Below are 27,511 nucleotides of genomic sequence, written 5' to 3' on the forward strand. Positions count from 1 at the left end.
TTTCTGGTATCAAAACATCTCATGTACTTCATAAATATAGACAACTACTATGTACCCACAAACGTTAAAAATAAAACAATTTTTAAAAAGAAAAAAGAAAGAATTTAAATGTTCTGGATGAATGAAAACAAATTAACAGTAAGAACTATGAACATTTCCTTTGTTAAATAAAATTTGGCCATTTCACAGAAGCATTGAAAACTGTAGTTAATTTCTTGGTAATATATTTTCATTTGCCCTTTATTCCTAACAGCATGATGATGTTTCTATGGCAGAGATGAACCTAGAATTGATGACACCCCAAACACTTTCATTCTCCATATGCTAATTATTACTCAAATTAGAGAGAGAAAATTTTCCTTGTGTTTTATGATAGGCTTAAAACATAAAATAAGTGAAGATTAGCTTTCTAGAATATGTAAAAATTTGACTCCAGTATTGTTTTTGAATAATATTTTAGGCAAGTCAAGCCCCTGGTTAAAATCCTCAGCAGTGACTGTTGTCTTCTAAAGTCCTAATTTTCAAGGTGTTCCAAAATCAGTTCCCAGCTTACTCTTCATACCTCAGCTTTCACTAATTCTCTTTATGAATCCTACAGCAAACCTAGACTCCCTGCCCTTTGTCAGGCACATCTAATTTACCTACCCTCTTCCTTTTTCTCTCAACCCATCTCTATCTAAATCCTTCCCATTCTCCCAGGCCTACTTTAATTATAAGCACCTCCAAAGATGTTTTCTTGATCCTTCTTACAGAAGCATTTTTTTCCTCCTGAACATAAAAAAATTGGGGTTTTTGCAACAGCTGTTTATGTGTATGTTATTCACAACCTATTTCCTAATGAGGTGCTCACCTAAGGTTTGTTGATCACATAAATGCATGAATGAGTATCTGCTATTGAAGACTTACCTACTTTTGGATTTATGCTTTCTACTAGGATCAAGTGATAGATAAATAACAGAGCATGACATATAAATATGTTAATATAGATACATATGTTAACACTGTATCTTTAGGGGATCTTAGCCCATCCATAAATAAATAACATTTGAAACAAAGGCATAACAGAGGCAAAATTGATTTGCTTTAGAAGGTCATCTTCCTCTCATTCATCAAGGCTACAAATGTAGCTTTGCCTTCTGTCTCAAAGCCATTTCCATGGTTGTGTATCTGAAATGTACATATCTGTCTCCTGCGCATCCTGCCCCACATCATGCCTGGACCATCTCTGGACCACAAAACATTTTCCCAAAAGGTCTCTTTGATTCCAGCTGTCATGGGCTGTCAGGATGAACTTCCTAATATGCTGATAAGAATATGTCAATCCCCTGCTTAGAAATCTCTAGGTGGGGGATTGACTACTCACAAAGTAAACTTCTGATCTACAAGTAAAATTCAAATCCCTTAAGGTGTCATTCAGTGCTCTCAATCATCTGCTTTCAATGTTCCCTTCTGGCTTCATCTCCTCTGGTCTCCACCACATGGCTTATGCTCATTCTCTTGGCTAACTTCACCTCCATGAAAATGCAATTATACTTCCTTCTTGTAGACTGGAACACTCTTCCTCACTTTCCGCCTATCCTTTAAAGCAGTGGTCTCCAATCATTTTGGCATCAGGGACTGGTTTCATGAAAGACAATTTTTCCATGGACCTGCTGGGTGGGGATGGTTTCAGGATGAAACTGTTCCATCTCAGATCATTAGGCATTAGACTGTCATAAGGAGTGCACAACCTACATTCCTCACATGCACAGTTCACAATAATGCTTCTATGATAATCTAATGTCACCACTGATCTGACTGGAGGCAGAGCTCAGGCAGTAATGCTCACTTGCCCGCCACTCACCTCCTGCTATGCAGCCTGGTTCCTAACGGGCCACAGACAGGTACTGTCCATGGCCCGGGGATTAGGGACCCCTGTTGTTTTAGGTTTGACTTTAGTGCTCCATTCTCTGCCAAGTCTTCTGTGATCCAAGTGGTCAGAATGTATTGCATTTCATTTGGATTTTTGTATATACCTCTATTTCACTGTACCTAGACCTATGGTGAGTAGCTTGTATTTTCAACCCTACCAAATCACTACTTCTAGAAAACAGGAACCATGACATCATTATGTTTATGTATATCTCTTTGAGCTAGTAGTGTCTTCTTATATTGCTTTCTACACAGTAGTTAATTGCCTTGTGATGAATTCAACCACACCTTTTGGGTATATAATATACCTTAATGAGAATTGTATTCCTAGGATAAATAAATAAATAATTTCAGAAAATGCTAATCAACAATTATCAGTTAATCATGTGCTTATAATTGATGAAGCATTGACTCATCAGATTTGAATCATCAGGTAGATTTTAGTGACTTATCTGTGTTATTGTTTTCTTAAATAAAATATTTTGAGTAACGAGGGGGAATAAGTTTGATTTTTTTAACTTCTAAATTCTTTTTTAGAATTTAGGACAGTTTGGAATTGAATGGTCTCTATATTGGTAAGTATAATAAGACCTTTAGTGCTGGTAGTTTTATTTAAGTTTGGAAACTCAGGTGGAATAAAATACTTATGGAATAAGTGATTACTTCATTCTCCATGGTAATAATCTACCTTTCAGAAAAGGTCAAAGAAGCTCTTTTATTCATTTTTTTATTAACCTTTTTATTTTAAAACAAGCTCCTTTTGTAAAGAACAAAAGTAGGCTTGAATTTTACTTTGCTGGTTGTCTGGACTGTAAAAATGAAAGTATAAACCAAGCCACCAAATGAAAAGAAACAGGGGGTCTCTTTCATTTGGAAGAGAAATTGTAAAACACTGCTCACACCAGGCATGTATTCATTTTTGTATTTCAAGCATTTAAAAAGTTGCTAGTGCAACTATAATGTTTTAAATACTCAATCTTTAAATGTTTAGCCTTTTTCTGAGGCTGAGAATCTGCATTGTGAGATGGGTAGCTCCTTCTCAAGATGCAAGACCCCCAAGTGCTTTTACATAGAAGCTCACTTATTTTTTACTATTCCCGAAGGAGGCATTCTAGCACATGTCTAATGTCAGATTTCTACAAAGGGCAATTGAACATTGTCTGTTAGCCTGTAGATGGAACAGAGCTCTCTGATGACATTGAAGGGAAGGGTGGGGATTATCATAGCTTGATAAGCCTGGAAATTCTGCCGGATGGCATTTGGCAGTATGGAAATGTGCTCAGCTTATCTTACAGACAGGAATACAAAATTCAAAGAGTGAAAATGACTTCTCTAGATAGAGGCTGATCTGGACCAAGACTTGTAATTTTCTCAATGCCCAGTGTTTTTTCATCACCAGCCCACTCTTCTCACTGTTCCAGATGTGGGGGTTTTCCTCCTTGGTAAACACTGTGATCTATCCCTTTAATTGATTTTGTTCCCTTCTGAGCTTGGCAGCAAGTTGGAGGTAAGCACAGCTGCATGACTGCTGAGCATGCTCCAGATGCTTTCAGATGGAGACAGAAGCTCTTTTATCCTGTAAGCTCCAGCTGAATCGGGGGCCAGAGGTCAGGACTACCTTTACACATTTTCTTTAACGTCACCAGCCAGCTTTGCTGACAGAATTGTATGGCTCCCCATGTCCTAATTCAAGAGAGATTTATTTAGCAAGGGATTCCCGGTAAAGCACAGCATGTCGAAAGTATCCCAAAGCTCTATAAATGAGTCAACTAGACATAATTGAAAAGAGGGTGTTACTTTTTGCATATTCTCTATAACAGTGCTGTCCAAAAGAACTTTCTGTAATGATGGAAATATTCTATATTGGTGCTGTCCAATATGGTAGCCACTAGCAATATATAGCTGCTATATCCTTGAGACGTGGCTACTGTGAATGGGGAGCTGAATTTTAATTTTAATTTTATTTAAATTAAAATGGTCACATTTGATTACTACTGCCATATTGAACAGAGCAGCTCTATATAAATGTGGTGGATGTGTTATGGCACAAAAGAAGTTTTTAAAATGGTGGTTAGTTATTAGCCATTTTTCTCATATTTAATAACTATATCTCCTCATTGATAAAAACCAGTATAATGGAGTAAATAATAACAATCCATGTGATAATATGAGTGAGAGAATTACTCACTGAAATTACAGTGCCACAGACAAATAGTGAAACTGCTTGCAACATTGCTACTACTGTAGAGAGCCAATCCATGTCTTAGAAAAGCCAAAACATGTGGAGGCAGAGGAATTTGATTTGAATTTGGCTCTCCCATTTTCGGAGTGATATTGAGCAATCAAAATATTTACTTGTGCTTATTTACTTCTTTTTAAAAATGACCTGTTGGCTTTCCATTTTCTCTTCCTCTCTGCATCACTTAGCTATTACCCCAGTAATACTGCCTAACGAACCACCCCAAAACTTAGCAGCTTAAGAGAACAATCATTTCCTCTTGTTCACGCACCTGAATTTGGTCAAACTGCAGGGACTTGGTGGATTTAGGCTGGGCTCGACAGATGTTGGCACCAAGCTGCAAGTGAGTCCAGCTCAGCTCCATGTGTTTTCTGTTTTCCTGGCACCTGTGGGCCAGCTTGGGCATGTCACTTTCATGTGATGGTGGAAGTGCAGAAGAACAAGCCAAATTGCACAAGTGTATTTCAAATATCTGTTCATTTCTTGTCTGCTAGCATCTCATTAGATAAATCGAGTCACATGGCCAAGCATCAAAGTAGCAGAATCTTATATTCCTCCATGAAGGTGCAAGAAGAAAGTGAATACTTGACAAACAGTTATGTCATTTGATCACAGTCTCCATAAACTCATCTTCCTCAAATGTTTGGCATCTACTGTTTGATAAGTTCAGTGTTCGTTTGTAAAATGAGAATAGTAGTAACAATGTCTGCTTCACACGATTATTTAGGATTGCTTAAGAACTTTGAAAAGGAGCTTTTTTCAAAAATAAAAATACATCAAGTGAACACAATATTTTGAATGATTTTAAGCAATATTCTCCCTCATCACAATTATCACTTCATGAATAGACCAAACTTTAAAAAATTTCCTTAACATAGTCTGGATAATAACATCTAACTTATACCTACCATTTTTTCCATATTCAATCCAATAACTTACATATTGGCATTAAAAAAGGTAAGTCGGTTAACTGCTGGAGTGAATATTGTGTTTGACTCTCCAGCATACATTCCATACCTTCTGTCTCAGTAAAAGGCAGCAATGTGGTTAGAGAAGTGACCTCTAATTAAAGGATGGGCCAGACTGGTATAAGAATAATTCCATCTCCCTTGCAAGTCCTTTGTTTGAGAGAGAATGTGTAATGTGGTTTTATCAAATAAAACCCAGCTAGAGGGTTATGGGAGGCTTGTAAGGCTGTTTCTCTATCTTGAGAGAGTTGTGGGAAGCCATTCTCTCTTTCTCTTACTAAATGTGAATGAAGAAGCAGATTGTCTTAGTTGCTGCTAGTAGGTAGCCTGCAGCTCCAGGTCAGAGAAAGGCTGAGTTAAGAGAATCACAGAGAAATAAGACTGTAGTCCTGATAGGACATTGTCACAAGCGTATACCTTTTGGGAACATTGAATTATGTGATTATTAATTATTCTACTCATTTAAGCTTATTTGATTAAGCATTTTATAGTCTTTCTCCTCTTCTAATTATTCATGTTATTTCATTCCTTCCTTCATCACTCATTTATTCATCCATTCATCTCATAGGAACTCATAAGGGTCCATAGTGTGCATAGCTCTTACCAAGCATTAGGAAAGATGAAAAATGAATTTTAGAAATAATTTTTTGCAATTCTGTGTAAAATTGGTAAGTGAATTTATGCTTTAACAAAATCCTCTCTTTCAAACAACTGGAAGCTACAGATGAAATTTAAAAAAAGATGACCAAGATGATGTAGGTAGGCACCAAAATGGGATAAACATATCTGTGAATCACAGATAAAACAGGATCAAAAAGTGTCATAAGGGCTGAACATGCAGCTCTGCCAGATTCCAACTCTGGAATCAGGTAATGGCAGCTTGGATCCTGTACCAAACATACAGATGACATACTTAGCCAAATGTACAGAGGACATACTTAGGCAAATGTACAGCTTGAATCTAGGAACTGAGGTAAGCCTACCACTTCCTGAAATGAGGTTGGAAAAAGTTACTGCTGAGTCCCTGTCTGAAGTCATAGCTTTATAGGACTCTGTGGGCGTAGGCAGACAACAGACAAAAACACTGCCTCACAACAAGGAGCTGAGCCAAACCATCTGATTATTTGATTTGTTATATCTCTCAAATTATGGTAGAGCAGGAGAAAGGATGCATTCTAATATGAGCTGGATGTTGACTGGGTGTCAGTCTTCACTGCTAAAGACTGGGAAGGGGGAATCCAGGAAGAAAAAGAGAAAGACAAATAGGAACAGAGAGAGAACAGAACAAATTCTGCAGGGGAAAAAGAAAAACCCAAAACAAGAAAAGAAATCTAATGCTAAACAAAATAATCAACAAAATCAACAACCAGAACAAGAGTTAATTTAATGGTGCAGTTAGGAAGAGACTTAGATGAAAATGTTTAGAATGTTCAAAGAGATCAAGGAAAATATTATATTCATTAAAAAGAAAAAGATCATGAACCAAAGTCAGGCAGAGTTGAAACAGGAACAGGAAGATATGCAAAAACATAGAGATGTTGCAAAAAATATAGCTATTGAAATAAAAAATATCACAATAAATGTGATAACATTTACAAATAAATAACTGGTGGTTTAAATGATCATAATAATAACTCAGGTCCCAGCATCAAAGCTTTAAGAAGCAAATGTATCATGTCTTGTCTTCTCTACTTCAGAGCACAGAAAAGGAAGAAAAATTATAACGCTGGCAAAACTTTTAAAAGAAAAGTAAAAGAAGGAAATATAGATTAGTCATACAAGCATAGTTGCATAAATCCTAAATAAAATAATATCTAATTATCCTCTACTGGTGAATTTTTTAAAAAACATACAAACAAGTGATTTACTTCAGGGATTTAAGGATAATTTAACTCCAGAAAATGTACTAAAGTAATTCACATTAGCTGACAAACAGAGATAAAGTAGGTGATTATCTTAAGAGACGCAAACTAAATTGATAAGATTCTGCATTCATTCATAATTTTAGAACAGTAACAAAATACAAAACTCAGAGCAAGTTAGGAATAGAAGAAAATTTTCCAAACCCAAAGGATGAACTTTGAAAAGCCTCGAGCAAACATCATTTATCTGTGAGCCATGAGAAACATTCCATTTTGGTTAGCAAAAAGACAAGAATACCCACCATCAACATGCTTTAGTATTTTACTGGTAGTTCTAGTTAGTGCAGTAAGAGAAGAAAAAGAAGTAACAATTGCACACATTAGAAAAGAATAGAAAATTGTTCTTATTTTAGGTAACATAACTCTTCTATAGAAAAAAACCACACACAAACCAAGAAACTATACAGAAAAATTATTTGAACAGGAGAATTCAGAAAGGTTGTTGGATAAAACATCAATAAACAAAAATTGAATAGTGCTTCTCTTTCATATGAAATATTCAATTACAATATAATTAAAAATTAAACATTGTTTCAAATAATGACAAATGCTATAAGGTACCTAAACATAAATTTAACTAAAGACCAGTAATATCTTTGTGGAGAGCCTTACAAATATTATTGAAAGACAAAAGAATGCCAGAATAAAAAGATAAACCAAGATCCTAAATGAGAAAAGCTAATACTATAAAGATATTAATTCCTATCTCCACAACTAATCTATAAATGGAATGCTATTTTAATTGAAAAAATCTTATCAGATGACTCTAAAACTATTACTGTAACAAACAGCCAAGAATAATGAATGAATTCTGAATAATAATAAAGGAACTAGCTCTACTAGTTCAATGAACAGGGCTCGAACAATTGCTTTTCCATGAAATTATATTTTTCATTACACCAGTGCATACATATAAATTTCAGGGCAGATAAAATATTCAGATGTTAAAGAAAACTACTGCTTTCAGAAAAAAAAATAGGAAATATCTTTGTGAGTGCAAACTATCCTCCTTAAGTAACATGCAAAAAGCATAAAACATATAGGAAAAGATTTAGGACTTCTGCTGTACTAAAATATCAAATTATTACAAACAAAAACATTAAAAGTAAAGTTAAAAATAACAACAACAACATAAGCCATACAAATAGATATTAGGAAAAGATATTTTCAACTCAACAACAAATTAAGGATTACTATCCAGAACACATAATGACATTCTATAAATTATTTTTGAAAACCCAGTGTAAAAATGAGCTAAGGATATGAACAAGAAATTCACAGAATAGGTAACCCAAATGGCGAGTACATACATGAAAGCTTCCTAATCATACCAGGAATTATTGATATTCGAATTCAAACTGATGCAGGGTAGATAAGCTCCAAAACTGGGGCTTAGTCTGGGCTGGTTTTTGGCTTCGCTGGGGAAAGAATTCAAGAGTGAGCTGGTGGTAGAAGAAAACAGCTTTACTGAGGCACCAGCGTTACAGCGCCGTGACTGCTCCTGCAAGGCAGGGCTGCCCCATAGGCAGTGTGTTGAGAGCAGCGGCTCAGGGGAAGTTCGGCAGTCATATTTATTCTCACTTTAAGGGGCAGGCTATTTAGAAATTTCTAGAAAAAGGATGGTAATTTCCAGGTTGTCTCCATGGAAAAGGGTGGTAATTTTGAGGTGTCACCATGGCAATGGTAAATTGTTATGGCTCTAGTGGTCGTGTCTTATGGAGAAGTGCTTTAGGTGCCTCTTCCCTGTTTCAGCTAGTCCTCAATCTGATCCAGAGTTGAGTCCTGCCTCCTGCCTCAAAACCAATCAGATAAATAAAAAGGAGTTTGGCAAATAAGTGAAGTAACAGGAATTTTTAGGAACTGTCCAAATCACTTTTGAGAAAAATGTGTCAGTATCTAGTCAAGTAGAAGAGAATGCTATCCCTGACTCATTTCTACATATGTGTATCACAGGAACTCTCATACTTTTGTACAAGAAAACATATAATAATGTTAATGCAATATTATATCTCTTATTGATATATCACTTCTCCATAGGGAGAACAGGTTTTAAAATTTGGTGTATTTATAGAAAAGATGGCTTTATAGCTTTTAAAATGAATGTGTTAGAGTACTATGCTTTCAATCATTAAAATTTAAAAACATTTTAAGCAATAAAGAAAACAAGTGTAGGATAATACATGCAGTATGATGCCATTTATATGAAGTTTGCCACCACGCAAAAAACGTGCTATATGTTGTTAATGAACATTTATGCATGGAAATAATCAACATCAAGCTGATGTTTACCAGATTTTCAGTTGATTCAGATTTAGCTTAGGGATTACCTCTGGGAAAGGAAACAGGAAAATGAGACACAGGAACAGTATCTGGGCACGGTTCAACGTTTTAATGATTATTGATATTAGTTCTTAAAATTATCAGAAACAAGTGTACAAAAGGGTTAAGATTTTATAAAGCTGGTGAAAGTTCCTTATGTTAATTTTTCTTCCTGATACATTTCATGTAGAAGATAGAGAAGAGCAGAGTGAGATTTTTCCGAGGTGGAGTGATGATTATGGATTTATGAGTGATGAAGAAAGCTTTGGAGTTCAAACGATGTTACAGACTCATGAGGCTTCTGAGCGAGTTGCTGCTCCACTTCACCAAGGGTGCTTTTTTCAACATCCTCTCTTTTCCATCACCTCCAGCCACTTCCAGATTAATATATACTTCTGGATTCAGACAGCTTGAGAAGAAGAAAACCAGTATTTCCAGGCACACTCTTCTTAGGATGGGTGTGACTGGAATTCACTTGTCAAGATTACAGAGACAAAAGACATTTTCAGATGGTAACTGGTAGGAGCCTTAGGTCATGAAGCTCTATGGTTCCCAATTGGAGATCGGCAGAAATAGTTACGGGAGTGGCCAATTTCACCTCCCAATAATTCCGATACCTTCATAGAAATTGAGCAGTTATCCAAGCAAGGTCTATGAAGGCCAAATAATGTTTCCAGTTTCTTACCTTTGTATAGAATTATGTATTGATATGGTTTCATCAGCTACCGCTTATTGTTGAGGGGCTCTTATAACACGGACTCGTATAACATTATAGGAATGTCTGAGCATCTTAGGGAAAAATAATGTAAGATTCTAGTAGCTTAATTGGGAAAAGTTGAGAAGTATAGGTTTGTATCAATGACTTTGAAAAAAAGAAATGCAGAGTGATTTCATGATTTACTCAATCAGTCAGATAGGGCAGAGCCAGGGCATAAGCCAGGTTCTCCTCATGCTTAGTTCAAGGGTTCGTCCCACTGGTGACAGTCCCCCTTTTAATACTGTCAAGTGTTAGGATCAGGTTCTAACTCACTCCAAAACTATGATCTAGGCTGAGGCAACTCTGAATACAGAGGCAGTGTGTTGTAGTAGCAAGAGCACTGCATTTAATGTCATGTGTCTGTTTTTGAGTCCTGGAGATTCTACTTACTGGCATGTAGCATTCAGTCTGCCTTTTCTTTAGAATAGAATTGCACTGAAAAGCATCTGCCCAGGCTGCAATTATTTCTCAGTACCATCGTCTTGTATCCAGATGAGGGCCAGGTGATGTTCTAGTCATAGGATATCAGCAGATGTTATGTGTTTCAGTTCTGGACCAAAGAGCTTAAACTAAGGAATGCCTATTCCAATTCCTCATTCTCCATCTGCTTGTTGGATGCAGAAGATTTGAAGACTAGAGGAAGGTAGAGCCACAGATCCCTGAAATACCTTGTGGAAGACTCTTCATCTACCCAGAACACCGTATGGTGCCATAGGATAATCAAAAAGTAAGATTTATTGTATTAAGTTCTGAGATTTGGGCATTTATTTGTTATAGCTGCTAGCATTACCTTAACTAATGTACAAGTTCCCTGGCTTTTAATGTGTAACTCCTTCCTCTGTGCTTCAGTTTTCTTATTTGAAAAAAAGAATAAATAATCCCCAGATTCATACGGGATTGCTGTAGGTCTCCAAAGGGATGTAACAAGGTGCTTTATAAACTGTAAGGTGACGTTATTATCTTTGAAGCAAATTGAGGGCAGCCACTTAGAGCTCTACAATTTAAATATCCTCAGAGCAAGTATAGGAGGCAGAATAGGAATCTTTCTGCAGCTGCCAGAAAAGGAGATTTAACTTTAGCATTTAACTGCACCACTATCCCTCTGTAAGCTTCACATTTGCTTTTTTATAGTGACACATTTTCAATCAATCAATCAATCAAAAATAATTAATCCATAGTTCTTCAGTACCTATCATGTTCAGGCCATGGCGTTAAGATGCTCCTGATTCTTGTGCATTTAGTTCCAACACTTAATGTTGTCTTCAATGTATTTCCCCTGTTGTGAAGCAAAGGATACAAGGCATACGAAAAATAAAATAAACTTAGTCATAATCCCACTGCAGCGATAACCACACATGGGTGAAGATTTTTCAAGCGCTTTATTTTCTATACTAATGTAAACCTTTTACCACTCTCTACACATTGCTTTGTAAATATTCTTTTTTTTCCACTGAAAATATCATACATGTATTTTCTAAGTTAAAAAATACAGCACTATATACTCATTTTTCTACTGGATATAAGAATTTCACTGTATGGATATTTGATGATATAGTCAATCAATCTCTATGACAAACATTTAGGTGATTTAATTTTTTAATATTATAAATAACACTGCACCTTTTTTTTTGCACAGGTATACATCTTTGCCATATTTGCTTGATAATTTTCTCAGGAGAAAAATCCTAACATTTATATTTCTTTTTTTGTTTGTTTATTTTTATTTTTATTTTATTTTTGTGACAGAGTCTCACTCTGTCACCCAGGCTGGAGTGCAGTGGCCCGATCTTGGCTCACTGAAACCTCTGCCTCCCAGGTTCAAGTGATTCTCCTGCTTCAGCCTCCCAAATAGCTGGGATCACAGGCACGCGCCACCGCACTTGGCTAATTTTTGTATTTTTAGTAGAGATGGGATTTCACCACGTTGGCCAGGCTCCTCTCAAACTCCTGACCTCAGGTGATCTGCCCACCTCAACCTCCCAAAGTGCTGGAATTACAGGTGTGAGCCACTGAGTCCTGCCTAACATTTGTATTTCTGTCTCAAAATATATGCATAGTTTTAAAGCTTTTTATCCAGAGTGTCCAATTAACTCTAGAAATATTTTTACCTTTTTTATTCTCCAATAAGCCCAAGTATTTATTTCTATTTTTTAAAATCTGTACATAAAAAAGTGAAAGGCAATTAGTGCCCTGTGCAGGGTCGTTTGTTCTGGTCTTTCCATCTTAGAACATATTCCCAAGATGATATCCTTTCTCTGGGATATTCCTCACTTCCCTCTCAGTGTCTGCTCTTCCTTCAGAACTGAGCTCTTGAGCACTTCCCTTTCTGCTCAGAGGCTTCCACAAAACCTGGGCACCTAGACTCACTCCATGTTCAAAACTTCCCCTTTGACTTTTTTCGTCTCTCTACTGTTTTCTCCATCAAAGCTGTAATGCCCATGGTGAACATTTACCATGTAAAAATGTAATAGACACCATTATTTAATTGATGTAATTTACTAAACTGTAAACGTCAGATAAGGAGTTAACTTAAAAGGTTAATTTAAGGGTTAGCATGAGGTGCTAACTTACAGCCCCACAGCCTATAATCCTGGTAATGGGTCATTTCAATAGAGATTTTTCGTGATGAAAGACTTTCTAACATTTCAGTTTTGGATGCCAAGGGCTAGCTATACAACAAGGCTTTGCTTATAAGTATTTGGGAATTCATATTTATACCATAGATTGTTTTCCAAACTGCTAAAGAATAAAATCCTAACAGTTCCTTTATGAATGGCTACTTAGTCTGTTTTGTAGGCTAGAACAACCCTAATCAATGAATATTATATTGATCACTTGAAGCAGTTTTCATGATGTACAGGTTATGATCATTGTTCATATTGAGCTTTCATTTCATGTGACAAGTTCTTTTCCAATGTAACAAAGAAAATACAACCTAGCACTCATGAATTTTATAATTCAAATGAAACAGCACAGATAACAAATGCAGAAAATAGTGAAGGAAATGGGTTAAGTATATTTGAAATTAACCTACATAAAACCTCCCAATTGCCATGTTTCAGTGACTGAACCGCACATTGGCTGTTTCTGGTGGGAAAATGCACTCTATCTAGTGTGATTTATTGAGTTGCATCACGCTTGCCACCTGAAAAGTAAAAATAAATTAAAGCTCTCTTAGTATTTATTTTAATCAGTTTCTAGGTAAATACAATTAAATGAGAATATTGAAGAGGACAGTAGTCTTATTTACAATATACTCTGAATATAAATATTGTCCTCGGTAGAATGTGGACATCTGTTATACAAACTGACATGACTTTGTAGGGACATTTAAGCAGCTCTGTTCTTAATTGTCAAGGAAGCCCTTAGGGTTCTTGTTTGTGGTATTTGCAAATTTTTTACAGAATATTCATTATTAAAAATTATCATTAAAGAATCAACCTCATTCATTGTTTTTAGCTTTGTGACTTCTGCTGTGTCTTACCTGGGTCAGAGATCATTGGAATTTGAGTTAGTAAAATGTAACAAAGTCTGTTGATTCATTATAATAATGCAAATAATGAAAATGGCCTATATGTCATATATGTCTTTCATATATGTCACAAATAATTTTATGTCATGTAGAATATTGATGTTAATACCATATTTTATTGAAAAAGCAAGTTACAGATTGTGGTAGTAGCTGTAGGATACTAATACAGGTTCTGGCACCTACTTGGAAGTTGAGGAGTTTTTCTTGTATTCACACAGTAGATTAACACTCAGCAATAAAAGGGAATGTGCTATTGATACATTCAACAACATAGATGTCCACTGATATGTACTCTCTTGCAGATAGACATTTGTGATATTTCTGCTTTTTGGCTATTATGAACACAGCTGCTTAGAACATTCTTATTCCCGCAGTCTTTTATTAACATATGCATTTATTTATCCTCAGTATACACCTAGGATGGAACATATGTAATAGTTTAACTGCATTAGGAAATGCCACACAATTTTCCAAAGTGGTGGTACCATTTTACACTCTCATCAAGGATAAGCACACCAGAACTTTGTGCTTTTACTTTTTACTTTTTGGCATTATACTACGTGTGTAGTAGCATCTCATTGTGGTTTTAATTCGCTAGTTTAATTTGCTGATTACTAGTGCTTTGGAGTGTCTTTTCATGTCTTTATGGACCATTTAGATGTCTTCTTTGGTGAAGTGCCTATTCATGTATTTTGTTCACTTTAAAAATTTGTTTTTTATATTTTTATTACTGATTATCCTCTTAGTATCAATTTATGGGAGTTATTTATGTATTCTGGACATAAATTCCTTATCAAAGATATATATCTTTTCTCCCAGACTGTGGCTTGCTTTTTTTATGTTTTTACTAGTGTTTCTCAGTTTAAAAAATAGTTTGTAACTTAAAAAATGGTTGTAGTGTTTAACCTACTAGGTAATCCATAAGTAGATGTATTTTTCCATTACCTAGTAAAACACATGATAAATAAGATCAACAGTGATTATTTCTGGTAGGCGTTACTTCTGTAGGTTTTATTCCCCCTAAAGGCTAATTATGAAACTGTATCCTACATTTTCTACATCAGTCATTTATTTTCTAGATGATCTTGATTCTAGCAAATGAACATCATGAAAGTCTTTTGCCTCTTTGTTTTTGGTTGATTGGTCATTTGAATCATTGATGAATCACTCAGGCTCAATGATGACAGGATTATCTCAGCTGTCTCTGGGGCATTTCAGAAATCATGCTTCCGGAATTTTTTCTCACTCTTCAAAAAAAATTCTTGAAAATTGATGCTCAGAAATTAAGCAGCTTTCTCCTATAACATCTGAAAGTTTGAGAGACATAATCTGGCAAAAGTGGCAGCGGCACTAGACGAAGTCACATTGGGTCCGTAGGGAAACTCTTGCTTCCAGGAGCAGCAAGGAGTTAAATGACACTGTAGTGACTCCTGAAACATAGCAATAATGTACATGGATGTTGGCTTTGTAGGTAACATAAATATTTTTTTTTCTTTTATTATTATACTTTAAGTTTTAGGGTACATGTGCACATTGTGCAGGTTAGTTACATATGTATACATGTGCCACGCTGGTGCGCTGCACCCACTAACTCGTCATCTAGCATTAGGTATATCTCCCAATGCTATCCCTCCCCCCTCTCCCCACCCCACAACAGTCCCCAGAGTGTGATGTTCCCCTTCCTGTGTCCATGTGATCTCATTGTTCAATTCCCACCTATGAGTGAGAATATGTGGTGTTTGGTTTTTAGTTCTTGCAATAGTTTACTGAGAATGATGATTTCCAATTTCATCCATGTCCCTACAAAGGACATGAACTCATCATTTTTTATGACTGCATAGTATTCCATGGTGTATATGTGCCACATTTTCTTAATCCAGTCTATCATTGTTGGACATTTGGCTTGGTTCCAAGTCTTTGCTATTGTGAATAGTGCCGCAATAAACATGTGTGTGCATGTGTCTTTATAGCAGCATGATTTATAGTCCTTTGGGTATATACCCAGTAATGGGATGGCTGGGTCAAATGGTATTTCTAGTTCTAGATCCCTGAGGAATCGCCACACTGACTTCCACAATGGTTGAACTAGTTTACAGTCCCACCAACAGTGTAAAAGTGTTCCTATTCCTCCACATCCTCTCCAGCACCTGTTGTTTCCTGACTTTTTAATGATTGCCATTCTAACTGGTGTGAGATGGTATCTCATTGTGGTTTTGATTTGCATTTCTCTGATGGCCAGTGATGATGAGCATTTTTTCATGTGTTTTTTGGCTGCATAAATGTCTTCTTTTGAGAAGTGTCTGTTCATGTCCTTTGCCCACTTTTTGATGGGGTTGTTTGTTTTTTCTTGTAAATTTGTTTGAGTTCATTGTAGATTCTGGATATTAGCCCTTTGTCAGATGAGTAGGTTGCGAAAATTTTCTCCCGTTGTGTAGGTTGCCTGTTCACTCTGATGGTAGTTTCTTTTGCTGTACAGAAGCTCTTTAGTTTAATTAGATCCCATTTGTCAATTTTGTCTTTTGTTGCCATTGCTTTTGGTGTTTTAGACATGAAGTCCTTGCCCATGCCTATGTCCTGAATGGTATTGCCTAGGTTTTCTTGTAGGGTTTTTATGGTTTTAGGTCTAACGTTTAAGTCTTTAATCCATCTTGAATTGATTTTTGTATAAGGTGTAAGGAAGGGATCCAGTTTCAGCTTTCTACATATGGCTAGCCAGTTTTCCCAGCACCATTTATTAAATAGGGAATCCTTTCCCCATTGCTTGTTTTTCTCAGGTTTGTCAAAGATCAGATAGTTGTAGATGTGCGGCGTTATTTCTGAGGGTTCTGTTCTGTTCCATTGATCTATATCTCTGTTTTGGTACCAGTACCATGCTGTTTTGGTTACTGTAGCCTTGTACTATAGTTTGAAGTCAGGTAGTGTGATGCCTCCAGCTTTGTTCTTTTGGCTTAGGATGGACTTGGCGATGCGGGCTGTTTTTTGGTTCCATATGAACTTTAAAGTAGTTTTTTCCAATTCTGTGAAGAAAGGCATTGGTAGCTTGATGGGGATGGCATTGAATCTGTAAATTACCTTGGGCAGTATGGCCATTTTCACGATATTGATTCTTCCTACCCATGAGCATGGAATGTTCTTCCATTTGTTTGTATCCTCTTTTATTTCCTTGAGCAGTGGTTTGTAGTTCTCCTTGAAGAGGTCCTTCACATCCCTTGTAAGTTGGATTCCTAGGTATTTTATTCTCTTTGAAGCAATTGTGAATGGGATTTCACTCATGATTTGACTCTCTGTTTGTCTGTTGTTGGTGTATAAGAATGCTTGTGATTTTTGTACATTGATTTTGTATCCTGAGACTTTGCTGAAGTTGCTTATCAGCTTAAGGAGATTTTGGGCTGAGACAATGGGGTTTTCTAGATATACAATCATGTCGTCTGCAAACAGGGACAATTTGACTTCCTCTTTTCCTAATTGAATACCCTTTATTTCCTTCTCCTGCCTAATTGCCCTGGCCAGAACTTCCAACACTATGTTGAATAGGAGTGGTGAGAGAGGGCATCCCTGTCTTGTGCCAGTTTTCAAAGGGAATGCTTCCAGTTTTTGCCCATTCAGTATGATATTGGCTGTGGGTTTGTCATAGATAGCTCTTATTATTTTGAAATACGTCCCATCAATACCTAATTTACTGAGAGTTTTTAGCATGAAGGGTTGTTTTTGTCAAAGGCCTTTTCTGCATCTATTGAGATAATCATGTGGTTTTTGTCTTTGGCTCTGTTTATATGCTGGATTACATTTATTGATTTGCATATATTGAACCAGCCTTGCATCCCAGGGATGAAGCCCACTTGATCATGGTGGATAAGCTTTTTGATGTGCTGCTGGATTCGTTTTGCCAGTATTTTATTGAGGATTTTTGCATCAATGTACATCAAGGATATTGGTCTAAAATTCTCTTTTTTGGTTGTGTCTCTGCCAGGCTTTGGTATCAGAATGATGCTGGCCTCATAAAATGAGTTAGGGAGGATTCCCTCTTTTTCTATTGATTGGAATAGTTTCAGAAGGAATGGTACCAGTTCCTCCTTGTACCTCTGGTAGAATTCGGCTGTGAATCCATCTGATCCTGGACTCTTTTTGGTTGGTAAGCTATTGATTATTGCCACAATTTCAGATCCTGTTATTGGTCTATTCAGAGATTCAACTTCTTCCTGGTTTAGTCTTGGGAGAGTGTATGTGTCGAGGAATTTATCCATTTCTTCTAGATTTTCTAGTTTATTTGCATAGAGGTGTTTATAGTATTCTCTGATGGTAGTTTGTATTTCTGTGGGATCGGTGGTGATATCCCCCTTATCATTTTTTATTGCGTCTATTTGATTCTTCTTTTTTTCTTTATTAGTCTTGCTAGTGGTCTATCAATTTTGTTGATCCTTTCAAAATACCAGCTCCTAGATTCATTAATGTTTTGAAGGGTTTTTCGTGTCTCTATTTCCTTCAGTTCTGCTCTGATTTTAGTTATTTCTTGCCTTCTGCTAGTTTTTGAATGTGTTTGCTCTTGCTTTTCTAGTTCTTTTAATTGTGATGTTCGGGTGTCAATTTTGGATCTTTCCTGCTTTCTCTTGTGGGCATTTAGTGCTATAAATTTCCTCTACACACTGCTTTGAATGCGTCCCAGAGATTCTGGTATGTTGTGTCTTTGTTCTCGTTGGTTTCAAAGAACATCTTTATTTCTGCCTTCATTTTGTTACGTACCCAGTAGTCATTCAGGAGCAGGTTGTTCAGTTTCCATGTAGTTGAGCGGTTTTGAGTGAGATTCTTAATCCTGAGTTCTAGTTTGATTGCACTGTGGTCTGAGAGATAGTTTGTTATAATTTCTGTTCTTTTACATTTGCTGAGGAGAGCTTTACTTCCAAGTATGTGGTCAATTTTGGAATCGGTGTGGTGTGGTGCTGAAAAAAATGTATATTCTGTTGATTTGGGGTGGAGAGTTCTGTAGATGTCTATTAGGTCCGCTTGGTGCAGAGCTGAGTTCAATTCCTGGGTATCCTTGTTGACTTTCTGTCTTGTTGATCTGTATAATGTTGACAGTGGGGTGTTAAAGTCTCCCATTATTAATGTGTGGGAGTCTAAGTCTCTTTGTAGGTCACTCAGGACTTGCTTTATGAATCTGGGTGCTCCTGTATTGGGTGCATATATATTTAGGATAGTTAGCTCTTCTTGTTGAATTGATCCCTTTACCATTATGTAATGGCCTTCTTTTTTATCTCTTTTGATCTTTATTGGTTTAAAGTCTGTTTTGTCAGAGACTAGGATTGCAACCCCTGCCTTTTTTTGTTTTCCATTTGCTTGGTAGATCTTCCTCCATCCTTTTATTTTGAGCCTATGTGTGTCTCTGCACGTGAGATGGGTTTCCTGAATACAGCACACTGATGGGTCTTGACTCTTTATCCAATTTGCCAGTCTGTGTCTTTTAATTGGAGAATTTAGTCCATTTACATTGAAAGTTAATATTGTTATGTGTGAATTTGATCCTGTCATTATGATGTTAGCTGGTTATTTTGCTTGTTAGTTGATGCAGTTTCTTCCTAGTCTCGATGGTCTTTACATTTTGGCATGATTTTGCAGCGGCTGGTACTGGTTGTTCCTTTCCATGTTTAGCACTTCCTTCAGGAGCTCTTTTAGGGCAGGCCTGGTGGTGACAAAATCTCTCAGCATTTGCTTGTCTGTAAAGTATTTGATTTCTCCTTCACTTATGAAGCTTAGTTTGGCTGGATATGAAATTCTGGGTTGAAAATTCTTTTCTTTAAGAATGTTGAATATTGGCCCCCCACTCTCTTCTGGCTTGTAGGGTTTCTGCTGAGAGATCTGCTGTTAGTCTGATGGGCTTCCCTTTGAGGGTAACCCGACCTTTCTCTCTGGCTGCCCTTAACATTTTTTCCTTCATTTCAACTTTGGTGAATCTGACAATTATGTGTCTTGGAGTTGCTCTTCTCAAGGAGTATCTTTGTGGTGTTCTCTGTGTTTCCTGAATCTGAACGTTGGCCTGCCTTGCAAGATTGGGGAAGTTCTCCTGGATAATATCCTGCAGAGTGTTTTCCAACTTGGTTCCATTCTCCCCGTCACTTTCAGGTACACCAATCAGACGTAGATTTGGTCTTATCACATAGTCCCATATTTCTTGGAGGCTTTGCTCATTTCTTTTTATTCTTTTTTCTCTCAACTTCCCTTCTCGCTTCATTTCATTCATTGCCTCTTCCATCGCTGATACCCTTTCTTCCAGTTGATTGCATCGGCTCCTGAGGCTTCTGCATTCTTCACGTAGTTCTCGAGCCTTGGTTTTCAGCTCCATCAGCTCCTTTAAGCACTTCTCTGTATTGGTTATTCTAGTTATACATTCTTCTAAATTTTTTTCAAAGTTTTCAACTTCTTTGCCTTTGGTTTGGATGTCCTCCCGTAGCTCAGAGTAATTTGATCGTCTGAAGCCTTCTTCTCTCAGCTCGTCAAAGTCGTTCTCCATCCAGCTTTGTTCCATTGCTGGTGAGGAACTGCATTCCTTTGGAGGAGGAGAGGCGCTCTGCTTTTTAGAGTTTCCAGTTTTTCTGTTCTATTTTTTCCCCATCTTTGTGGTTTTATCTACTTTTGGTCTTTGATGATGGTGATGTACAGATGGGTTTTTGTTGTGGATGTCCTTTCTGTTTGTTAGTTTTCCTTCTAACAGACAGGACCCTCAGCTGCAGGTCTGTTGGAATACCCTGCCGTGTGAGGTGTCAGTGTGCCCCTGCTGGGGGGTGCCTCCCAGCTAGGCTGCTGGGGGGTCAGGGGTCAGGGACCCACTTGAGGAGGCAGTCTGCCCGTTCTCAGATCTCCAGCTGCGTGCTGGGAGAACCACTGCTCTCTTCAAAGCTGTCAGACAGGGACATTTAAGTCTGCAGAGGTTACTGCTGTCTTTTTGTTTGTCTGTGCCCTGCCCCCAGAGGTGGAGCCTACAGAGGCAGGCAGGCCTCCTTGAGCTGTGGTGGGCTCCACCCAGTTCCAGCTTCCCAGCTGCTTTGTTTACCTAATCAAGCCTGGGCAATGGCGGGCGCCCCTCCCCCAGCCTCGCTGCCGCCTTGCAGTTTGATCTCAGACTGCTGTGCTAGCAATCAGGGAGATTCCGTGGGCGTAGGACCCTCCAAGCCAGGTGTGGGATATAGTCTAGTGGTGCGCCGTTTTTTAAGCCTGTCGGAAAAGCGCAGTATTCTGGTGGGAGTGACCCGATTTTCCAGGTGCCGTCCGTCACCCCTTTCTTTGACTAGGAAAGGGAACTCCGTGACCCCTTGCGCTTCCTGAGTGAGGCAATGCCTCGCCCTGCTTCGGCTCTCGCACGGTGCGCGCTCCCACTGACCTGCGCCCACTGTCTGGCACTCCCTAGTGAGATGAACCCGGTACCTCAGATGGAAATGCTGAAATCACCCGTCTTCTGCGTCGCTCAGGCTGGGAGCTGTAGACCGGAGCTGTTCCTATTCGGCCATCTTGTCTCCTCCCCCCAGGTAACATAAATATTAATAACATGATTTCATTTCAAGTAAATAACCTTGTATTTTGTTCACTTTAAAAATTTGTATCTGTGGGATGTGTCTGTGGTTAGCCAGAGAGCAGCTAGAGCTGAGAATGTGACCCTATCAAGAAGAAATATAGTTATTTCTGAACTATATCTGCTATTACTGTGTCCATCCAGTTTTACTCCATGATGATGGTGTCTTGGAGTAAGAGGACAGTGACTGCTACTGGCATAGACTCAGAGTTCCAAATGGAAGAAAAGGAAGAGGACAAGACTGTGGGAGATTATGCAAGTAGCTGATAGTGATAGCAAACACAAGGATGTTGAATGATTAAAGAGTTCAAACTTGTTACAGCCATTTACTTGACATATTTTGGTAATTTGAAAATCCATTCTCCATTCTATTTTTAATCACTGAATTACTGGAAATGTGTTGGGCCTAATTTAAGTAGCCTGATAAATTTTGCTTTAACATAAACATTTGAGTGCTAGGTGATATTATTGAAGGTTCAGGAGACAGCAGAGTTCGTGAGACAGACGTGATTTTTTGCCCTTGGAACTTAGTCTAATGGGGAAGACACTTAAAAAGTAACGTGAACTGGAATTAATGTTGCCAGGGGAATTTCAGAGTGATGTGGAAGCACATAGCTTGGGTACCTGTCTTAGAGTGGGGTTACAGGGAAGACCTGCCTAGGGAGTGTCACTAAGTGGAACACAATGATAAATAGCAATTAGCCTTATAAAGGGGGCATGGAGAAGTGAAGTCTAGAGAGCAGGGCAAAGAAAGAACTGGTAAAATGTGAAAAGGCGATATTTAGAGAGAAAGTCTCATTTTGCTGGACTTTCAGCGTATTCTGGTTAAAATGTAAACAACATGGTACATTTTCACATTCATGGGAAATCTATTACATAAACCTTGTATATGAATATGGCAAAGAAGTTTCACCAAAAGTAAAAAAAAAAACGCCTTAAATATACATACTTTAAAGTTTTTAATTGATGCCTTCTTACAAATACTTCTTACTAACAATCAGGGTTGGCCACAGTTGGGCCTCACTCCGTCTATTTCTTCTCTCACCTGATCTCCCATGCAGGCACTATGGTTTACTTATTACTGCTTTTCTCTCCCTAATTGTCAAGTTTCCATAAGATTTTCCCGAATAAAGAAACATTAAAACAAATCCCTTAGATTATCCTGGGATTTTGTTTTCAAAAAAAGTTAAAGAAGATGTTTGCATGAATTCCATTCTTTTTCAGTGCCCTAGAGCTGATTCCTCACTTCCATAAGGGGAAATATCAAGTTAAAGAAATCATATAGAGATTACTGCCATAGCTGATTTATTATATTTTTGCCTCTTTTACTTGCAGTATATTTTAAGTAGCATGTTATAATTAATTCCTGTTTTTTTCTAGTCAATAAAACCAACTTTATCTTAAATCCATCTACAGTATTTGTCTCTGAGATGAGCCTCTGTACCTCTCTCTGCATTTATAGCAAATTCATGCTTTATGCAACAACTGGTTCCCCACGGTGCACTGGGTTCACCTTCATTTCTCTGAAGTGACAAACAACAAACAACTTCTGTTTCCCAGAGCAGCTCATACCTATTTTTGAAAGTAGCAGTCTTGAAACAGAAGAGCTTATAAGGCTCAACAGAGAATGAGAAGACTCTGAAGGAGGAAGGGATAAAGGACAATGTTCAAGTGGTTATTTTTTCGAAGTACAATAGTCTACAGATTCTTTGGTTGCTCTAAAAGAGTCTGTGAGTCTTTCCTTTATCCATCTACCAAAAACAAGTGATGTGTTAAAAAGAGGTTAGATACAAGAACCCAGGAATATATGACTGTGTACGGACATACAGAAAACTCAAAATATAGAAGAGAGTAATCTGTTTTACTTTTCTCTTGTAGCTTCTCTATGTTATTATGAATTTATCTACTTCCTGGACATTTAAGGGACATTGCTATAGTTTGAGATAAAAAGAAGATATGCTGACTTTTGGACCTAATTTTTATCGATTTGTAACAGAATAATTGGAGGCATTAGAAAGAACCAAATTACTAGGATGCACAAGGCTTTGTGAATTATCACAGCTAATATAAACTGACTTTTTGGTAATTCTCAGCCTGGAACAAGCCTTCTCCATTCCTGCTGCTGTGTAATGTGGGCAGGTGAGGGTGTCGGATTTTCACGGCACTTTAGGTCTGGTACCTGTAATGCAATTCCTTGAGGCCACCATAATGTAAACATATATAAAGGTGACGAAGAAGAGAGAGGAGCAGAGCCCTCTAGAGAAGAAGGGGGGACTGTATATTGATGGGAGAGGAGGTTAAGCAGGGCATGTGGGCCTGGCATTCCCAGTGGAGGGAGGCATCTTTGGCCAGGAAAGGGGAAAAGAAGCCTTCAGGCACAATGAGAATGTCTGAAAATAAAGATTTTTTTTTTGTAATATAGGATGGAAGAAGGGACTGTCAGACATTGCTTTTGTCCTCCTTAAAACCATTTTTTTTTAAAATTCTGGCTATCAAAGCAATACATACCATCAGAGAAAACACAGAGTATAGAGTAATATAAAAATGTTCTTAGGATTTGGGAGAGGTGGCTCTCACCTGTAATCCCAGCACTTTGGGAGGCTGAGGTGGGCAAATTGGTGGAGCCCAGGAGTTGGAGACCAGCCTGGGTCACATGGTGAAACTGGATCTTTACAAAAAATAAGCCTGGCAGGCATGGTGGCACGTGCCTGTGGTCCCAACTACTCAGGAGGCTGAGGTGGGAGGATTGCTTAAGCCTGGGAGGTTGAGGTTGCAGTGAGCTGAGATCACGCCACTGCACTCCAGCCTGGGTGACAGAGGGAGACCCCGTCTCAAAAAAAAAAAAAAATTCTTAGGAATATTCAAGAATATGTAGAAGAAAGCACCTTTGTTCCAAAGAAGTCACTTATAAAATTGATAGCATAGCATATTCCACTATTCCTTTGTACTATGCTTTCTGGAATTGGAACCAAATAAATGTACCTGACAGTAGAATCTCTTTTTTCTCATACCCTGCCTAGTAACAGTCCCATTGAGAAAACTGAGGCAGCCTTCTACATTCAGTTCAACAGATGGTGATTCTAGATAAAAGAGCTTACTGAGGGGCTTCAGAAGCTCTGACTTGGTCTTTATTCATGTTGCTTCATTGTAATCTTACTGGAGGCATTTATTAATGTCTTTGAAACTTAAACAAATATACCTATTTTCTTCCAGATTAAATTTTTCTATAGAGTTTAAATGTATTATCTTTCTATCCTGGATCAAATCAAGGTGTTAAGAAGCTATAAAGTCTTTTGAGAAAGTAGTTTTCCCTTTTAAAAAAATGTTACACATTCCTCTACTAGACTAAGTGGAGCCACAGCTAAGGTTTGGTCTTGTCTTGCTGGGCTAAAAAAATATGAGTTCACTTCATCTGTTAATGTATCTCCTATGTCCTGAGATTTTGACTTCTGAGGAGGATATGGAAAAATTGCAATCTGTTAAGGAATCCAAAATATACATAATTTAAAAATTTTACATGTCCATGTATGTAAAATTTAAATTTTACATATATATATAATTTTTAAATTTTACTGGTTACATCAATATATTAACAGTCAAGAATAGGGGATATTATTTTGTTAGAAAATGAAGACAAAAATATACCTCTTTTTTTTTAAGAAAAAGTCTCTATCTGGCTTGAATGTAAACCTTTAAGTGGCTTACATTTGGACGTCTACTGATAGATTTCACTTCACGAAGACTTTTCAGTAAATACTCGTTCTTTGTTTCTTAAGAACTTTTATAACTTGGTTTTCCTGTAATTCCTGTAAAACCAGAAATAAAGCTCTGAAAGTTGGAGAGTAAATTGCATCAATAGCCCATAGCACTGGTGATGTACTCCAGGGAACACTTTTTTTTTTTTTTTTTTTTTTTTTTTTACTGGAAGGCATGAATTTTCTAAAAACAGTCACTCTGTCTGCATATGTATCTATGCATGTAACATATGGCACTTGTGAATATATAGGGTTACCTTATTACCATGGGTTACCAGTGGCAACATGTGCACTGAGCTAAATCCTTCTTGGATTTTAATATTCTGTCTATGAGAGATCAGAAGATAGTGAAAATGGACTAGTCTGGCACAAACTGTATGGTATTTTAAATGGACATTTTATATGCATATATAATACAACTGGTGGAAACAGAGCAAAAGATCAAGAAAGCATCATGTATATCTCAACTGAAAAAAGAAAAAGAAATTAGGGAGTTAGCTTCTCCCTGTGCCCTACTTTCTGTGGCCATGCCTTCGGCTCTCTCTGTGACAATCCATTGAACAAGGTTCTTCTAGGCTTCTGCAGCTAGGGAGAAAGCATGTGATAAAGAACAGAGGCCATAAGTGGGCAAGAGTGTGTCTTTTCTCTGTAATGGGAATTTAAATTTAGGGAAATTACTCTGCCAGTTTGATTATTCCACTTAATAAAAAGAATTTAGCCATTTTTCATTCACAAGACTATTCAAGTACAATCCACATTTTACCTTCTTGGCCTGGGGAACAGAACTCTTCTGAATAGAGTACAGAGGGCTAAATACAATATCCCAGAAAAGTAGGAAGTACTCCTAGCAATTTGCATGCAGATAGCTCTCCATTATGCATGAGCTGCTTCTTTGGTTTCGAATGATCAGTGTCTCCGCTGTTCTTTCTTCTCCCTTCTGTTTCCACCATATTGGCATTTCACTGCTCATTAATAATTGTGGGAAGGAAAAAGAGAATGCATTAATTGAAGACTGCATCAATCAATACACAACTTTCCACTGGTGTAAAAGTCTGGTGGCATTTTTAAAAAGGTAGATATTTTTGATTAACATACCAGTGGGAGGTGGGGAGCAGGTTGTGAGTATTCTTCTCCATCATCAGAGAATGAGATAGTCATCCAGCTTTCCTGAGACATAACAAATACCCTAAATAAAAAGTTACAGTAAATAGCAATCATACACCTTTGAAATTTCTATCTTGAAGAGACATGAGGCTGGGTGCAGTGGTTCATGACTATAATCTCAGTGCTTTGGGAGGCCGAGGAAAGAGGATTGCTTGAGGCTGGGAGATTGAGACTAGCCTGGGCAACTTGGTGAGACCCTGTCGCTACAAAAACTAAAGCTAAAAGTTAGCCAGGCATGATGATGTGCACCTGTAGTCCCAGCTACTTGGGAGGCTGAGGTGGGAGGATTGCTTGAGCCTAGGAGTTTGAGGCTGCAGTGAGCTATGATTGTGCCACTGCCCTCCAGCCTGGGCAACAGAGTGAGACCCTGTCTCAAAAACCAAACAAACAAAAAAGAAAAGAGACATGAGAAATAATTTTAGTAGAGTAAAAACAGGATTGACAATTTTCAGATATGTGGCTTAAGTCTAACTCGAGTATACACACAGTATGTTCTCTGTGCATATAGAGAGGTGGATAATTGTTGTGTAATGACAGGATAGAATTAGACAAAGCACCACTTCATCAAAATATTTGATATAAACCGATCAGGTTCTACCATAACTCAAGATGCTTTCTCAGACAAACAGAGCTGCCTGTCATGTGCATTACAGAACTGCCAGTAGGCTCAAACCCTCCTGTCCATTTAAATGGATTATTTGGGGTAGACCGGCTGACCTGACTTGAGACCATTTCCACACATTCTTTGATCACCATGTGCTTCTGCTCTCACATAAGAGCAAGCATCTGTACAAAGTCTACTATGTATAGGTCATAGCATGTGCTAGAAACACAAAGATGTATAAAATTCCTGAAAGAGGCTATTATCCAGTTAGAGGAAAATAAATACAATACTAAGAAAGTGGAATAACAAACAAGATAACAGACCAAGTGCCAAGAAAAAGGTACAGATATTATGTGCTAGTGAATTCAAAAGAAAGGGAGAAATTGCTAAGTATGTGTTGGAATGTTCAATGAAGGTCCTACAGGAAGAAAGAGAATTCGAGTTAGGCTGAAAGAAGAGTTATGGAAAGAGGAGGAAGCATTTCAAGTGAGGAAAATGGCAGACTCAATATCCCAGATGCGGGAAGGGGCATGACATTTTTGGGAAAGAAGGACTCTCCAGTGCTGAGTAGAGCAGAGAGCTTGCATAGGTGATAGGTAGGGAGTGAAAAGAGGGCAGAAGTTCATGACCAGGCTAAGTTGTTGGGCTCAGTCCAATGCACAGTATCTTTAAAGTGCTTGCAATGGATTTGTGGGTCTTTTATTATCTTTAAAATATCCTTTAGGTCAAAGAATGTGGCAGTGGTTAAGGAGAAATTAGTCAGTTGACTGATTGTGACT

The 27,511-nt window shown here is 37.7% G+C and overlaps 1 long non-coding RNA gene across 1 annotated transcript in view, besides 1 other annotated feature; it reads right to left on the reverse strand.

Moving 5' to 3' along the window:
- Positions 1 to 9,410: 9,410 nt before the first annotated feature.
- LINC01416 (long intergenic non-protein coding RNA 1416) overlaps positions 9,411 to 27,511 on the reverse strand; it is a 38,512-nt gene continuing 20,411 nt past the window's right edge. Inside the window, exons 2-4 of the long non-coding RNA NR_110755.1 lie at positions 26,060 to 26,150; positions 25,728 to 25,926; positions 9,411 to 11,392 (exon numbers count right to left, since the gene is read on the reverse strand). This is a non-coding gene — a long non-coding RNA (long intergenic non-protein coding RNA 1416). The remainder of the gene's footprint in view (positions 11,393 to 25,727; positions 25,927 to 26,059; positions 26,151 to 27,511) is intronic.
- Positions 20,303 to 20,900: an enhancer, noted in NCBI's record as "NANOG-H3K27ac-H3K4me1 hESC enhancer chr18:53559811-53560408 (GRCh37/hg19 assembly coordinates)". NCBI's record gives its function as "activates a minimal SCP1, AML or CMV promoter by ChIP-STARR-seq in primed H9 embryonic stem cells {active_cell/tissue: H9 hESC(primed)}" and the evidence as "EXISTENCE:reporter gene assay evidence [ECO:0000049][PMID:30033119]".

Source organism: Homo sapiens, chromosome 18 (assembly GCF_000001405.40).
Source record: "Homo sapiens chromosome 18, GRCh38.p14 Primary Assembly".
NCBI lineage: Eukaryota > Metazoa > Chordata > Mammalia > Primates > Hominidae > Homo > Homo sapiens.